Genomic DNA, 17,634 nt, shown 5'->3' on the forward strand with positions numbered 1-17,634 from the left:
ATGCTCCATTTAATGTGATAATAATGTGATGAGTATGGATGAACTCAACTCTCTGTACTTGAGGTTTCAAATAAAAATAAGAATACCTTTATTAAGGGGAATTCTCTAAATGGGGTAGTTGAGAGATGTTTCTGACTAGGCTGGTTTGAATCAGAAATGCTGTTTCCATAAAGGGGCAGACTTGATGCATCCCAAGAATTGACTTATCTAAAGTCAGATAAGTAACATCTCCTACAGCCAGTAACAACCTTCTTATCTGGCAAATAGATGTAAATATCAACATGATTGTCATCCTGGCAGGTATTGCTGAGGGCCATGCAGTTTGCATCGTTGTACATAGATATCAAATGCTTGTCCAAAGTAATTTTTTCAGCATTCTATGGGGAGTAACACCTTACATTTGTACACTTTATATTATTCAAAGCACTTTATTTACAATCCCCTTTGATTCTCCTAAAGTTGGCTGAGTCAGATATTATTATACACTTCACAGATAAAGACTGTGAAACACAGCATAGCTCAGTGATTGTCCCAATGTCACACAAGTTAGTAGATCTGGTCTAAAACCCATGTCTCTGGAGGAACTGTTATGTTTCTTTTCTCTCTCCTCATGAGAATATACAGCTAACTGGGTCATGTCTCTTTTTGCTCTATTTCCAGAAAGTTCAGAGCCAGATTTGAAGCTCTTGTGAAAGAATTACAACTTCTTATCATCTGCATATTTATGTCCTTTTTGCATTGGTCTTAAACTTTTACTTTTTTCTATTTTTCCTGGTCATAATTATTTATTTCTACTTATATTTCTACTCTTATATTATTCTAGAGCCACTATAGACTACACTGGACAATTTGTAGAAGAGACGGGAGTATAGATAAATGCATGAATGTAAAGAAAAGGAAAAAAAATCCTCACAACACTAAAATAAAGCATTGCTTCTTGGGAAGAAGATCAGATAATTAGCTGTAATGAGCCTGGCTACATTTAGAAAATCTCTGTGTTTGGATTATATATGATTTAATTAGTATTTGGACAACTATGATTAATGAGAGGACAAATCTCTAGAACACTATTGAGTAAAAAGGATGATTTTAGATTTTAAAACTTAGCAAATCAAAATGACCCTAGTTCAGTATGCCTCATTGTGTTACAGGTAAAGAACAGCCATCCAGTGAAATCAACTACTCTGGAGCGGCCTGGTTTTTGAGCATGAAATTAAGACACTGAGTGTGACTTCTGTCCTCCATTTGTTATATGGATTGTCCTTCATATTGGATCATGTGTCCTCGACCCACCTGTCCAGCTTCATCCCTCTCCTGCCACTTCCCATCTGGCATCTGACATTCCACCGATTCACAAACTTCCTAGCTAATACCCACACTGAGTCCTCTGATAGATTCCCTTTCACTACTTCCCCTTACATGCCCAGTTCATGTCATCTCTCTTAAGAAACTTTCTTTGATTTCGGCTCCTTATTGATCAGATTACTCAATCAGAAGCCGTCTTCTCTATGCTTCATAAGATTTTGAAAATGCCACGATTATTATTGGCTTATTTGTCTCCCCTGATAGATTGTGAACTCCTTAAGTTTTTGGCTATTACTTGGTCATCTAGGCCCTGATGTGGCCTATTATAGTGCTTGGCTCATATGAGATACCCAGTTTATCTTTCACAATGAGCGAACACAGCTGGTTGAAAAGATGTCCAATGAGTTGCCACATGCACAGGTCAACAAGACATTTCACCAGGTCACAGTCACATGCTGTTCAGGAATGCTTTCTTTTGGTTTGATCTCTACTCCCTGGGCTCCCAATTGTAACAACTTACTGCCTGTTGTTTTTGGCCTCACTTTGGTCCCATTTTTTAATTTTTATTTTTTGAGACAGAGTCTGGCTCTGTCACCTAGGTTAGGGTGCAGTGGTATGATCTTGGCTCACTGCAACCTCCACTTCCTGGGTTCAAGCGATTCTTCTGCCTCAGCCTCCTGAGTAGCTGAGACTACAGGTGCTCTTCATTGCTATGCTAATTTTTGTATTTTTCATAGAGACAGGGTTTCACCATGTTGGCCAGGATGGTCTCAAACTTGTAACCTCAAGTGATGCTCCCACCTCAGCCTCCCACCTTTATTTTTTATTTTCCTAATGATTAAGGTTATTTTTAATTTCAAAGCCTAGCTGCTTGCTTTAAGAGTTATTTTTTGATTGCCACTATTTAATAAAAGCATCTCATATTTTATCTGGCAAAAGATGCAGAGGTCAACCTGATAATCATGTTAAAGGATATATAGGTTTTTAGGATATATAAACATCTATATTATATGAAATATGTCTGAAAGTACATATGGTTGGCCTTCTATATTTATGGGTTCCACATCATGGATTCAACCAACCACATATTGAAAAAACTTGAAAAAATTAACTTATAAAAAATCACAATACAATAAAAATACGAAATTTTAAATACGATATAGTAATGACTTACATAGTCCTTACATTGTATTAGGTATTTTTTTTTTCACCAAAACAATTTTTATTTCCAGTGTTTAATTGAATATGCACACAGGCATGACACAGGTTTGGATTCATTAAGTCCTCATGTAGAATTGTATTCTTCTCGATAAAGAAGCCAGTTCCATCCAGGATCCACTATCTACACACCTATGTTACAACATTTATATCAAATCTGGTATCTGAAGAAAAGATACACATTTAATATGTTCATTTAAGTTACGTATTTTACAGAAAGATTAAAAATTCAAGTCACACAAAACTCAAAAACTGTATTAAAAGTTTGAATATAAAATTCAGATCCACCTGGAATGACTAAAGAATGGAAGTTCTGTATCCACCTGTGTTAAAACTGGTAAATGTAATGAAATTTGTTACCAATAAAACGCATTCGTTTATTCAATGTAAGTTATCTAATTTTAACAATATGGCACCCTAAAAACCAACTGTGTTTTTATGATGAGGCACTTTTGTTAGTGATGAAACCAAAAGAACAAATTTGCTGCACACTGATGCCAGCGATTTTCTTCAGTGATTTTGGGTATATGCTATGTAGTAAGTTGCAACAAATACCTTGCTCATTTGTATACAACTATCCGATATATTTTAAAATATATATATATATGTACTTCTGGCTGTAGTAATGCACTGTAAAGCTATTTCACAGTGCAAAATGATGAAACCAGCCCAAATGAAGGCTGCATAATAACAATTCTGATACAAGAAAATATTGACAGAGTTACTGGAACGTGTAACAGTAGTTTTTTTACTTGCTAGAGTGGACATACCCCCAGTTTAAAGACAGGGATGAAACTCTGCTTTATTGCCTGGGGTTTCAGATAGTTTATGAGGTTGGGCATTCGCTGCAGAACTAGCATTTTTGCTCACGTTCTGGAAGCTTTCTCCATTTATTTGGTCAGGTGACTGTGGTGGTATGGAAAGAAGGGGCCTGTTTGTTGAAGCCAAGATGCTGGAAGAACTGCCTGTGGGGCAATGAAGAGACAAAGGTGTGTCGGTCGTGGCTATTTCCCGTGTGCTTGGCTTCTCTGTCTGGGGATCTCCGATTTCTCCTCTGCTAAGGTCAGAGGTACTGGTGCGTAGGCGTTCCCTGGCCAGCCAGTCTGAGATGGAAAGGTCCTGGGCTGAGCATTTTGGTTTTAATCGATTTACAGCTGAAAGTTCAGATTCTCTCTCCCCGCTCTGCTCATGCACTTTCCAAAAATTCAAAACGCTGATTTCAGTAGCATCTCTGTGCCCTCCTAGTGTATGTCTGCGCCGGATGCTTTTCCTTTTAGCAGTCTCGGCATTCACTTTGTGATTCCCTACTCCAAACATGTCATCCGCAGGGGCTCTGGGTCTCAGTTTTAACCGATCTGCTGTTTTCGTTTTCCATGTGGGTTCCTGTTTTTCGGATTCGCCTCTGGTGGGTGTCAGTAAACTCCCAGTTGACTTTCCTTTTTTCATAACATCAAACACTTTAGTTAATGAAGGTGCTTCTTTCTCATTCTTGGCATCTCCTAGACTTCCACTATCTGACTTGAATCTAGCTGATTTTTTCCTGGAAAGAGTATCACATTCGATGAGTTTATGGGAACTGAAGAGCTGTCTCCGGCTATCTAAACTTGATGTTAAACTTCCCTCGGTGCAACTTAATTCACTTCCTTCAGAATTTCTCCGGCTGCTCTTAGTCACTTCTTGCAGTTTTCCTCGGAAAAGCCTCTCTGAAGTCAAGGCTGTGGGGAACACGGGAAACTCACTCTCGCTGTCGGTTTCCACAGGCCGCCCTTTGCTGATGAGTTCGCTTCTCTCGTCATCTGCCTCGTCCCCCTTGCTCTCTGCCGCGGATTGCACCTCAGGGCTCAGTCGACTGGAGTCCAGGCTAGTCAAGTATGCAGCAGACGATGTGGTGGAATAATCTGAGGTGATGGTGCTGACGTTGGCCAAAAACTCGCTGTTTCGTTTCTGGACTGGTTGATTTCTTCATGGAAAACCTTGCCAGGGAGGCCTGGGAAGACGTGCTGAGCAAAGTGCCAGAGTCAGAGCCTGTCTCTTCAAGGTGGGAGGACTTCTGTGCCAGAAGTGACCTGGGGCTGTCTTTCAGGATGGCAAAGCGACAGCTGAGAGTTGGTGACTTGTTGTGTTCTGAGTTGTGTGGTGATGAGGGTTCTTCGGAAGGCGTGCTCTCTTTTCCTAGTGATATCTTTTCATCTTTTGTCGTGCTGGGGTCTTTCCTAGTGCTATTTTCTTTGGCAATGATGATCTTCTGTTTTCTGCCCAGTGTCTCACTTTCTTTTTTGGACTCCTCTTTAGTATCATTGTGACACTGTTCCACATTTTCTTTCTTAAAAAATACATTGTCCAGTTCATCTTCTGAGCTGCTAGGCTGTGCTTTTTCTTTTGGCTTCTTCCTCTTGCGACTAGCAGCTGCAAAGATGGAGGACACGAGCAGTTCCCTGCTATACTGATCCTTTCCAGATCCCCAAGAACCCTTAGATTTTGTTGAGTCACTAGTAGCTGAATCTGATACATCTCCTGGGGAGACTCCTGTCCTTCCAATGTTGGTGAGTAAATGATCTATGTTTGGCACTGGCTGGGAGTCTACTGTGCTTTCCTCCTGCACTGTTGTAAGAGGCTCTTCAGCACCTTCTTCTGTGAAAAACCAGTCATGGTGCTGGATGAGCGTTTCTACGATCTTGTACTGGTCAGGCATGTGGGTGACCATATGGGTCATGTTGTCTTCTGATGTTCGAACAAGGGTGGGACCAAACACTATTGCTAGGTTTCCTGGTTCCATCTTATTTTTTTCTGAATTTTCTGCCACTGTCTTCAGATGAGCTGAAAGGAACTTAAGTGTTTCATAATGATGTTCAGGCAAATCGTGAATTAGTCTTTTTAATGTTTTCAGACGATCTAGAGGCTCCTCTTTACGATTGGCTTCAATAAAATCAGCATATTTATCATTTGTGAAGAGAGACTCAGGGAGTTTTCTGGAGAAGCATTTTAGTAAACTGCTTATCACATTCAAATCTCACCATTTATCATCTTGTATATCAATATCAGCCATTCCCTTGTTGAGTTCTTCTTGCATACTTGAGATGGCTGCATTATTTCCAGGAACTCTATAAATACGTGTATATTCAAGACCTCTTTCTTCAACTAATTTGCAACATATGTCAACTATTAATGGAATATACCGATTAGTATGAGCTGGTGGGCAGTCATCTAGTCGGACGCCGAAAGTTCCTGTAGCAGTTGGCTTTCTCTCAAATGTCTTTCTCATGATACTTGGAATGCCTTTTCTCCATGTGCTTTCGTCTTTTGGGGGACTGGTATCATCTTTACTGAGAAGTTTCCTTTCTGACTCTTCCTTCGGAGAGTGTGGGCTTTGAGTCTTTGGCTCTGATTTAGCACCAGGCAAAGTTTGCCTGATGCTGAGACTCTGACGAGGTGTTTTTGGCAACTGTTCTGCTTTGCTCATCAGATTGTTGTATTCTTTTATTGTTCGACTAATTAGATCCCTGTTAGTGACTCCAGTGTCCTCTTCGTTTAGGTTGCTGCTCTCCTGGATCGTCTTGATCCAAGCTAACATATCATCTCTGTCTTCAGCCTGAAACAGGCATTCACAGTCGGACGTGGTGAGTCGAAACACATTTTTCCTCTTGGTCTCACTGTAAGAGATGTCTATCAAGCAAGCATTAACACTGATGGGCTGCTCTTCCTCAGACGGAGTCGTCTGCTCTCTTTTATCTTTGTACAGGTAAAGTGAATGACCCCGAAGGACAACGTACATCTGTTTCCATGGCCAAATACTTCCACCAACTCACTTGCCGTTATCGGTGACAAGGGATCGGAAATGGAGCCACCCTTCCTTGGCAGCATCACTGAAGGCCTCTGAGGAAGAATCTTTTCTGGACCCAGAGTCTTCTGATGACTTTTGGCTGTCTGCGACCTTGATTCCCTTCAGACTAGATACATGCTTAAAGGACAATTTTACATCTTCTCTGTAATCATCCAGACCCTCATCATATGATTTTGATCTTTCTGTCTTTGAGTTGGGCTGAGCATTCAGGCTATGAGGGCCAACAGATTCGTGGTCATGTGAGAGCTGACGGCAAATTAATGGAACTGAAGTTGTGAGGCTAGGAGGAACTGTTGCTATGCAGGGGACCTGAGAGGTAGAGGCTGATATAACAGCAGAAGCAGGGATATGTGCAATATCATGATCAATGCTAGGGCTAGTTGGTTCATCTATAAATGGGACGGAAGCCAAAGAATCGCCAGGCGGACTGGTACTCAAGGCTTTTCTTTCCTCCATTCTTTTTATGTGGACCTCTCGACGTGCATCATGGGCAGCCAGCAGGTAGTGTCTGACCTGGTCTCCTGGTCATTTACTGCCAAGATGTAAGACTGATGCCTTAAAGGCTGCGGTGTCTGGTGTCCAGATGGAGGTTTTTCCCTTAGGATGACAGCTTCTTTATTATCTAAAGTATCTGATTGCTCAATTTCAGCCTCTTGTAAACTTAAATCTTGATTCCTTTGACTGACAGGTAGTTCTAAATCTGAAGTACCAGCGTTTTCACTCGACTGAGGGGCAGGCTTGGCAGAGGCTCCAGATAGAGGGGGATTTCCCAGTCTCCACTTGCTGATCGGAGGCACTGTCAGTCCTTACCCATGTCTGCTGATTCAACAGACTGTTCTGATGCAAGTGATTTACTGGTCTTTGGTCTTTGATAGAAACAAATGATTTCTGGTTAAATGATGGTTTTGTGACATGCGTGGAAGGAGCTTTCAGAGAATTACTTCGGACTTTCACAAGAGGTGACCTGTCTTGTGAAATACCCCGAGGCAGTGACATTCCACAAGCAGTCTGAAAATTTCTGTTTGACTGCAGTGTTTTTAGATCTGGTGGAATTTTTTTAAACTGCGACACAGATCCCACTCCTCTACCACTCATTCGCCTGTTATCAGAATTAACAACACTTGGAGCCACAGTAAAATTGGAACCTCGAAAAGATTTATGAATTTCTTGCTGCCTAGGTCTTTCATAAATACCTCGTCTATCATCCTGTTCAGTAAACCCACTCCACTTGTAAGTCTGTTTTTTCTCTCCGTTGGAATCAGGTATTGGAGTTCCAGAATTGACATTTTCTAAGGTTTCATCCTGTCCCTCAATATAATCCCATGAACGAGTTCTATGATTACTAAAACTAACAGATGGAGACGTCAGTGCTCCTTGAGATGCACTTCTTGGACAATACTTCATTAGCACAGAATCTTCCAGTCTTTCTTGGGACACACTGCGTTGCCGTATCTGGACAGACTGGGGCACTCGATCATGAGAGGTGCTTCGACGTCGTCCCTGCAAAGTAGTGCGGTTAGGGACGACCTGGTTATAATCCATCGTGCTTTGAGATGCTGCTCTTAAACTATCTAATCTTTCTTGTATTGTCCGACAACCTATGTGCAATCGTCTGTTATCAATATACTCTTTGTAAGTTTTATAGTTTTTCCAGTCTATGTGCTGATGGGAATTTGGCAAATAGTGATTAACAGATACAGAGGGAGCCTCCACAGCTTGAGATCTGCTGCTTGAGATTCCATCAGAATGTCCACTGTAATTTCCAGATTTAAGTAAAATTCCAGAAGGTTCCAATGATCTGGAGCCTGCGGGCTGATGAATTAGATGAGTGGTGGGAATTGATAATGGTGGTGATGTGGTTCTTGACACTGTTTTTAAAGAGGTCTGCTCATTCACGCCATACCTCACTTCTTCAATTCTATGTGAAGGACCTGTATGGTTGTTTCTGTTGGATAACAAATCTACAACCTTCTCAGAAGGCACAATGACAGTCCTTACACTTTCATTGCAAACACACACTGCTGTGTTTGATTTTGCAACATCTGTTGGTGATGGAGGCACTTGTATTTCCATTCTATAGGCCCTACCAGGTTGTGTCAGTACTGGTGTACTGGTTTGCTGTTTGCTCAGTGATGAGTCAGGAGGAGCTATTTCAACTGGCTGTGCCATGGCTGATGGGGCAGATGGCAGCCAGGGATAGCAGATTGGTGGAGGTTCAGGTATATTGCGGGCATTGCCGCTATAAGCTTCGTTGCCTTTCAGGTAGGCATCTTGAGAATATGCCACTTGGAGAATGTCTTCATATTGTGGCATAACACTAAGTTCCAATGTTGTATCACTGTTTTGAATTAAAGAAATTACTTGGGAATAGGTTTTGCCAATAACACTTTCTCCATTGACTTTTATAATTTGGTCACCTGTACATAATCCAGCTTCAAAAGCAGGTCCTCCTTCTTTAACTTGCTTAACAAAATGGTATCCATTGGGTCCAAGCGGTTTCTTTGTTTTCCTTGAGGTGTTTCCTGTTTCCAAAGTAATGGCTGAGAGACTGACCAGCTGCACAGAGCTTCCATCAATCTCAAAAGTCTCCTCTGTTTCCATTTTCTTCATCCTTATATGAAAATTGAATTGCAGACTCTGGGGGATAAACAATAAAATGTCTTAATGTAAAACCAAAGTCTTGAGATGTTCTTTTCAACGTAACTGTTTTGGGACCTGGCCAGGAGAATGTTTCATCTTTGGACAGTGATACAGTTTCACTTTGTTCTTTTCCATCTTTATTTTTTTAGACTTCGCAGGCCTTGAACTTGTCACCATCTCCCTCAGGCAGACCAGTCCAACGCGTGGCCATCATTTTATTTCAAATGACAAAGAAGGGACAAATCCTTTGGAGTCCACATTGGAGGTCGGGGGGAATGCCACCACACACCCAAAGGGGAAGAATTCCACAAGCAGGCTCCGAGGAGGGGCAGGGCTGGTGAAACAGACAACGTACCAGGGAATAAATGTTTTCAGGAAGCGCCTTCAAATGCCTCGCTGATTTCTCGTGACTTCAACTGACTTCGCCTTCTTCTTCCATTTCTGGAGACTTCAAAACAAAGGCGACAGGTCTTCTTGGCAGCCAGTGTCGAGGCCAATTGCAGAAAGCGGTCCCCTTCTTCCCAGTGCCACTCCTGAGTCCTGGAAAAATCCGAATGGGTCGTGAAGGTTCGAGTGTCAGCTCCTAGAGAGATCCCTTCCCGCCCGCTCGGGCCTGGCAGCCAAAGTGCAGTGGCGAGCTGAAGCAGGGACGCTGGCCGGGCGCCGGGCCCGGCCGGGACGCTCTAGGCCGCAGTGTATTAGGTATTAAAAGTAATCTAGACATGATTTAAAGTATTTGGGAGGATATGCATAGGTTATATGCAAATACGATGCCATTTTATATAAGGGACTTTAGCATCTGCAGATTTTATCTGTAGAAGTCCTGGAACCAATCTCCCATGGATACCAAGGAATGATTATACATATATATGTATTATATATGTGTGTGTATATATACATATATGTGTATTATATATTATATATAATACATATATGTACATATACACATGTATATTATATGTATATGTACATATATGTATACATATATAATATATAATACATATATGTATATATGTTCACACAGTATACTGATATAGATGTATATGTATGTATGTGTATTTTTATTATACAATATGATTTCTATGATAAGCTCTTAAGTGTCAAAATTGAGCTTTAGCTGAACCTTTAAGTTTCACTCTCTTAATATGAAATAAATTTGAATCCTTTACAGAAAACCTAGAGATAAATACCAGTTTTTAAAAAGTCATGCTTGTTATTATGCATGTGTGCATCCCTTCATTATGCAAACATTTATTGACTCCAGAAGTAGAATAAATGCTGCGATACAAAAATAAGACAGACAATATCTGTGTCCAGAAAGATAATGGGAGCACAGCAGGAGCTGATGGTAGAGTTGGGTGTAGAGTCCAGACATGAAGGACTGTGTATATCATGCTAAGGAGATGGTTCTTTTCCTGTCACCAATGGGGAATTTTTAAAGCCTTTGAAGCAGGATAGACACAAGATCTTGTCTCTATTTGTACTTTAAAATGTTCTAATTCTTTGAGAAAAATGGAATAGTGGAGATATAAACCAGTAGATTATTGCTAAAGGCCAGGAGGGAGGTAGTGAGAGCTTAAACTATGGCAGTGGATAAGGGATGGAGAGGAAAGGATAGATTAAGTAAATAAGTAAAATAAACAGAATGGTCACTGTAAGTGAAGAAGATGGAAAAGGGAAATGCCTAGGGCAGTTACTGGTTTCTAGCTGGGCATTGTGGGAGTGACATTTATGGGAAAAGGGAACACAGAAGACCAAAATGAAATAAGAATTCATATGTAAAAGTAACTACCTCACATAAGTAGTTATGTGTGAAAGTAGAAATACTGTCACTTATCATCATTATTTAAAAGTCAAGGTCCTGAAAATAACACTTTAAACTACACTTAATTTGACTGTAAGAGAGTGTATAATGTTTCTTTAGTCAGGCTATGTGTTTTGCCTTTCTATTCTTGGACACAAATATATTGTTGAAGTCAGAAGTTGAGGCTGAAAAATGGCTTGAGTCTAACTCTTCTGAATTTCAGCGTGCTATGCTGCTGTCTATGCTGGTTACTATCAATATGGTGACCACTGGGTCTGGTAATGCACCAAACTACTGAAAGTGCAACTGGTTAGTTAGAAGTAATAGAATTCCTCACTGCCCCCCGCTCCACCCACCCACACACAAACTTAATGATTTAAAGCTTTGCCAGTCAACCATTTTGCAAATGTAGGTTATACAAAAAATCCAAGTTGAATAAGTGTATGAATGGCCAATACAAAAAAAGATAGTAATGGCTAAAATGTATTGAGCCCCTACTATATGCCAGGTGCTATTCTAAATATTCTCAATTAACCTTCACAAGTCATGGAGTTAGTGACTACTATACTCCTCATTTTGAAGATGGGGAAACTGAATCACAAGCTTACCCAAGGCCATCTGCAAGTAGGTTCAAGCTAGTATAATATAATACCAGATCCTGAACTCTTAACCGTTATACTAAAATGTAGTGAATAATGACCTCCTAATAAAGAGTAAAAAGGGGTTGAAGTCCCCAGCTGTTATTGTTTTGGGGTCTATCTCTCTCTTTAGATCTGATAATATTTGCTTTATGTATCTAGGTGCTCTGATGTTGGGTGCATATATATTTACAATTGTTATATTCTCTTGCTGAATTTATCCCTTTATCATCTTTTAAACTTCATTGTCTCTTTTTAGAGTTTTTGACTTAAAATTATTTTATCTGAAATAAGCATAGCTACTCCTGCTTGTTTTTGGTTTCTGTTTGCATAGACTATCCTTTTCCATCTCTTTCACATTCGGTTTATATGTGTCTTTGCAGATGAAGTGAATTTCTTGTAGGCAGCACACAGTTGAGTCATTTTATATCTTTAAGGTGGGGAATGTAATTAATTTACATTCAAGGTTGTTATTGATAGGTGAAGATTCATGTCACTATATTAATTGTTTTCCAGTTGTCTTGCATATCCTTTGTTCCTTTCTTCCTTGTTTATCATTGTGGTTTAGTGGTTTTCTGTAGTGATAGGGTTTCATTATTTTCTCTTTGTATATCTGCTCTACCACTGAGTTTTATACTTTTGCGTGGTTTCATGATAGCCATCTTTTCACTTTAAGATGTAGGACTCGCTTAAGGATTTTTGCAAGACTAGGATAGTGGTGATAAATTCCCTCAGTTTTTGCTTGTCTGGAAAAGGCTTTATTTCTCTCGTGTCTGAAAGGTAGCTTTGCTGAGTATAGTGTTCTTGACTGGCAGGTTTTTCTCCTTTCAGCACTTCAAATAATTCATCAAATAATTCATTTTCTTCTAGTCTGTAAGGGTACTGCAAAGAAATATGCGTTAGTCTAATGGGGATTCCTTTATGTGTGACTTAATGCTTTTATCTTGATGTTTTTAGAATTCTCTTTGTCTTTGACTTTTGATAGTTTGACTATAAAGTGCCACAGGGAGTAGATTTTTAGACTGAATCTTTTTGGAGACCTTTGAACTCCTAGATCTCCTAGATCTGGATATCCATATCTCTCCCCAGCTTGGAACAATTTTAGCTATTATTTTATTAAATAGGTTTTTCTACACCATTTTCCTTCTCTTTTCCATCTGGAACTCCCATAAATGAGAACATTTGTTCACTTAATGGGGGGTCCTATAAGTCTTGTAGCCTTTCTTTATTCTCTTTCATTCTTATTTCCTTTATTTTTTCTGGCTGGGTAATTTCAGATAACCTATCTTCAAGTTCAGAGATCTTTTTTTTTTTTTTTTTTTTTGAGACAGAATCTTGCTCTGTTGCCCAGGCTGGAGTGCAGTAGCACGATCTCGGCTCACTGCAACCTCTGCCTCCTGAGTTCAAGCGATTCTCCTGCCTCAGCCCCCCGAGCAGTTGGGACTACAGGCACATGCCACATGCCCACCTAATTTTTGTATTTTTAGTAGAGACAGGGTTTCACTATATTGGCCAGGATGGTCTTGAACTCCTGACCTCGTGATCCATCCACCTCAGCCTCCCAAAGTGCTGGGGTTACAGGCATAAGCCACTGCTCCAGGCCTAAGTTCAGAGATTCTTTTATTGGCTTGATCAAGGCTGCTGTTGAAGCTCTCTATTATTTCTTCAATTCATAGAAATCATTAGCTGCAGTATTTCTCTTGGCTTTTTCAATGATTTTTATCTCTTTGTTGAATTTATCATTTGTATCATAAATTTTTTTCTGATTTTGTTGAATTGCCTGTCTATATTTTCTTGTATCTCATTGAGTTTTCTTAAGATCACTATTTTGAATTTCTTTTCCAGCAGTTTGTTGATTTCACTTTCATTGGGTCTGTAACCAGATAGTTATTATATTTCTTTGGTGGTATCAGATTTTTCTTGCTTTTTAATGTTGTGTGTGTGTGCTCCTATGTTGATGTCTGTGCATCTGGTGGAAAAATCACCTCTTCCAAAACTTCTAGAGTGGATCTTGTAGAGAAAAACTTTCATCTGCAGTTGGGTTTTGGTGTGCCAGTTTGGAAGGATGTAGTGATTCTATTTTCAGACAGGTACAGTGCAGTCAAGAACACTATACCCAGCAAAGCTGCCCTTCAATAGCTTCTGCAGCTGTTCAAAGTCAACAATAACTGTGAGCACCTCAGTAGCATAAGCTGTAGAAGTTTGTGGGATGGCAGTGGCAGTGTAGGTTGTTAATAGCTCCTCAGTGTCAAGGGCTTTTGAAGTCCTCCTTGTTTTCTCTACAATGAAGAGACTTAGAGGAGGGAATCCTTCTTGATATCAAGTGTGACATGGCTTACTATTAATAGCAGCTGCAGTGGCATTGGATTCCAGGTGCAGGTGCTTGAGGCAGCTGTGGGGCCAGGATCCTAGGTTCAGAGTCTCACAAACCTATAGTGATACCTGGGTCTTGGGGTGCAGATTCATTCTCTGTAGCAGGGTTGGAAGACCAGGTAGCCTACAGGACCAGAATCTATGACTCTGAGGCACAACCTAGCACTGCTCACGGAACTGGATTGTAGCTACAATTCCTATCTTTTGGGGGCAGGGCACAGCACTGGCCCACCTCCAGGGAAGAAGGGGTGCTGTGGATGTTTGGGCCTTTGGAGCAGGGTATGGCTGCAATTTGGGTGTCTGACCCAATAAGGCTCAGTGTGTCAACTTGGGTCCCAGGGGATGAGGCACCATATAGTGACTCTAGACTCTGGAATGGTGGGGCTCAGCAGTATCCTGACTCTATGAGGCTACATGCAGTGGCAGCAGGTACCCTAAAATGGGGGAGCACAGCTATCATTTGGGCCCTGGGGTATAGGGAAGAAATAGCACAGCAATGATTCTTCTTTCCAAGGAGAACAGTGTTTCAGCAGCTCAGACACTAGAGAACTAATTATGCTCCAGGGAAGCAGGGTCCTAGAGTTTGGGCAAGGTTTCTGAGTTCACTCATTGCTCTGTTTCCCTGGCATGTGGTGTGTGCTATGTCACCTCAGCCCTGAGATGTGCAGCTGCTAACAAACAGCTTGGCAAGGCACCACTTCCCCAGGGGGCAACGTGCTGTTTCAGATCAGGCCCAGGTGGTGTGACTGTTTTGGGCAGCCCAAGCACCACTTCCCTGAGATGCATGGCACTGCTTTAGCTTAGATACTGGAGTGTGTGACTGCTGTGGGTGGCCAAGACACTGTTTCTTGGGATGCAAGGAGCTGCAACAACTTAGGCACTGGGGAGGTGGGGCTCCTTTGAGTGGCCAAGGTACTGCTTTCCCAGGAGAAGGAGTTCCGCTTTGGCTACAGCTCAAGGAGGAGGAAGGAGCAGGTGGAGCAGCTCCACATCTGCTTGGTCTCACAGGAAAAAGTGTAACAGCTGCTCACAGCTTGACATGGGGATGTCAGGCCACCGGCCTAGGGTGGTTCGGTGGTAGCTTAGTCTCAGGGGTGAGAAGAAGCCATGGCTATTTGTCTTTGGAGAAAGACACACTTCTGTAGTAGTTCCAGTTCCAAGATGGCACAGCACAGGAGCCACTGGCCACAGTGGGCAGGGACAGGGTTAGCTCCTTCTCTGGAGACAGCGTAAGTATATAGACCCCAGGAAGCTCCCTCAGCTGGACTTAGTGCCGGTGAGGACTGTAGGGGACCAAGGTCTGTAGGTGTCCAAGGTGTTGATGGGTGTTCCTGGGATCATCTTCATCTCTAACTGATGAAGATGAGTCAAGTCCTGGTGAAATACTATGAAGTATTTGTCTGTAACTTTTGTGTTACGTTTAGTCCTCTTCACTGTCAAACTCTCCCTTTTCCCTCAGCTTCCTTAACTCTTCCTCATTTTCTAAGGCTCTCTCTCAATTCAATCAAAGATCTGAGATCATCATTTACATTTTAAAACTCATTTATATTAGCATATTAATTCTCCTAGATTTAATCCCTTTTTATATTTCAACAAACGATTTATTAATGTTACGTTACAATGAGTGACAAAATATTTGTATCTAATTCTAGACATTGAGAGTTAGATTCTAGAATGAATCGTTGGAATAGAAGAAAAATAACGATTTTGTTTTCTCATAATTGTAAAACTGTCGTCTTAGTCTAGGCACAGCTAGTGCAACATTTTCTTCAATCTCACGGGCTCCATTCCCTTTACTACTTGTAATACACTTGGGTCACTCACAGGAGAAAGACACTGTCAACATCAGTAGTTAGCAACATTTTCAAAATGCATTTTGTTGTCTTAAAAGTTATGCTGTTATTTCAGTAATCTCATACAGTCTTATTTACTTCTGTGCATAAGATATGAGTTCTCAACATTCATGTAGGTGAATATTTCCCATGTTTTTTGAGGATTCCCAAAAGACTTCAGGAAGTTCCCAAAATAATTTCAAGTGTTTAATTTTTTCACAATAAAAGAAAGGAGCAATGTCAATCCGTGAGAGTCAGACCAGCAGCTTAAGAAAGACCCTCTTCATAGCGCAGTTTCTGGTGCATGAAGAGACTAAATTAGCCTTCTTGCTCTCAGTTCTTAGAAGAATTTGAGAGGAATAAGAGCAATAACTACCTGTATCATTTCATAGCCTAAGAACAGAGAAAATAGATGTCAAAAAGATAGATGTTAAAAAAACAGAAGCCAATTCCTTTCATCCTAGGATGTCTGAAAAGGAGAGATTCTATGGAGCATGGGTGCAGAAAAGAAGGAGTTATGCCTATGAGAAAAAATAAACTCTGGGCACAATCACTCAAGGCCAGAGAAACAACCACTAAGAGCAATTAGCATCAGTTTCATTGTCACCAGGAGGGCACATACCTGAGAACCTGGGACAAAGCCTGGGACAGAGCCTTTAGCATTCTTAGGCTTACTGGTGCTGTGGTTCAACAGTCTTTGACGGAATGGAGAGAACCAGAGACCACCACCATTATGTGTAAAAAGGATACTATTGCAACAACAAGGCTGCAAAAATCAGCTACAGTTTAGGTTGTACACCATTTGAAATCCACCCTGTACTCATTTGAATCCACTTGCTTTCTTGTGAAGGGCTTGAGAAGTGCAGAGACACCTTAAACATGTGAAGGTGACTCTTTTGAAAGGCAGAAGAGGAACTCTTCATGAACTCTTTCTACTCATTAGTTTTCCTATCACTTCACCATTAAAACTAGAAAAGAAGCTGCAAGCTATCTCAGCTAGCTTCTTATTTGGACACAATACCAATACTATAGACACAACTGAATGAATGACCAAATCTTCCTGATTCTTCCATTGCACAGGGTCAATATGTGTCTTCGACTAAATAGCTGTGATCTTGTTCAAAAAAAGCATGTAAACACAGGGCTTGATTTTGTTAGCCTCTATCCCAGAAAATTCGTCGATCACTCCTTGGCTTTTGTATAATTCAGTGACTGGCTTTGCCACATCTTTGTACTGTCTTAGCCTTGCAGCAACTGCTTTGGGTTTATCATCCTCATGCTGGGCTAATGGTTCACCAGCGATGTCATCAATTCCACATATACGAGGTGGATTAAATTCCAGGTTATATACCCTTCCGCTAGGAGAGGATCTTTAAGTGTTTCAAATGGAATGTTTAACGTGATCACTAGATTCACTTCACAGATTTTGTCCAGGACATCAGCTTGCCCTGATGTCCTAGGAAAGCCATCTAGGAGGCAGTGCTGCCACATCTATTCTCCAACTCCAACATCATTAGGCATGTGATCACAGGTCTGGAACCAAAAGACCTTTCTCTATGTACTGCTTGGCCATGTCACCAACTCTGGTGTTGGCCTTGATGTTCTCCCGCAAGCAGTGGCTACTAGAGAAATGTTGGAGGCCTAAGTTCTGGGCAATCCTCTCGCACAAGGTGCCCTTGCCCTAGGCAAGCAGCAAGAGGATGACTGCACAGGAGTCTGGAAGCCATTGCCTTTGCTAGGAGGGGGTGGCCAAATGCACAGCCCAGATAGCAGTCCCAGAGGGAGCCCCAGAGAGTTTTGTTTCTTGGCTTCTACCTCTGGCACCTTCTGCTCACACTGGGACTTGCCAGCCTTCCGCCCTTTGGCAGGAGGCAGAACTCCAGGAGGCCACCAACAGACCCTGCAGGGTGACCTTTTATTTTCAATTCTTAAAGAGATTTCAGAAAATTAGGGCAGGTATGGTAGGTAATTTTGTAAGAGTAG

General features: G+C 41.2%; 2 pseudogenes; both read right to left on the minus strand.

The window, feature by feature from the left end:
- LOC643562 (Rho GTPase activating protein 21 pseudogene) lies at positions 2,512 to 9,599 on the minus strand (annotated as a pseudogene).
- On the minus strand, positions 16,745 to 17,378 carry AK4P5 (adenylate kinase 4 pseudogene 5; annotated as a pseudogene).

The sequence above is a fragment of the Homo sapiens genome, chromosome 6 (assembly GCF_000001405.40).
Source record: "Homo sapiens chromosome 6, GRCh38.p14 Primary Assembly".
Classification (NCBI taxonomy): domain Eukaryota; kingdom Metazoa; phylum Chordata; class Mammalia; order Primates; family Hominidae; genus Homo; species Homo sapiens.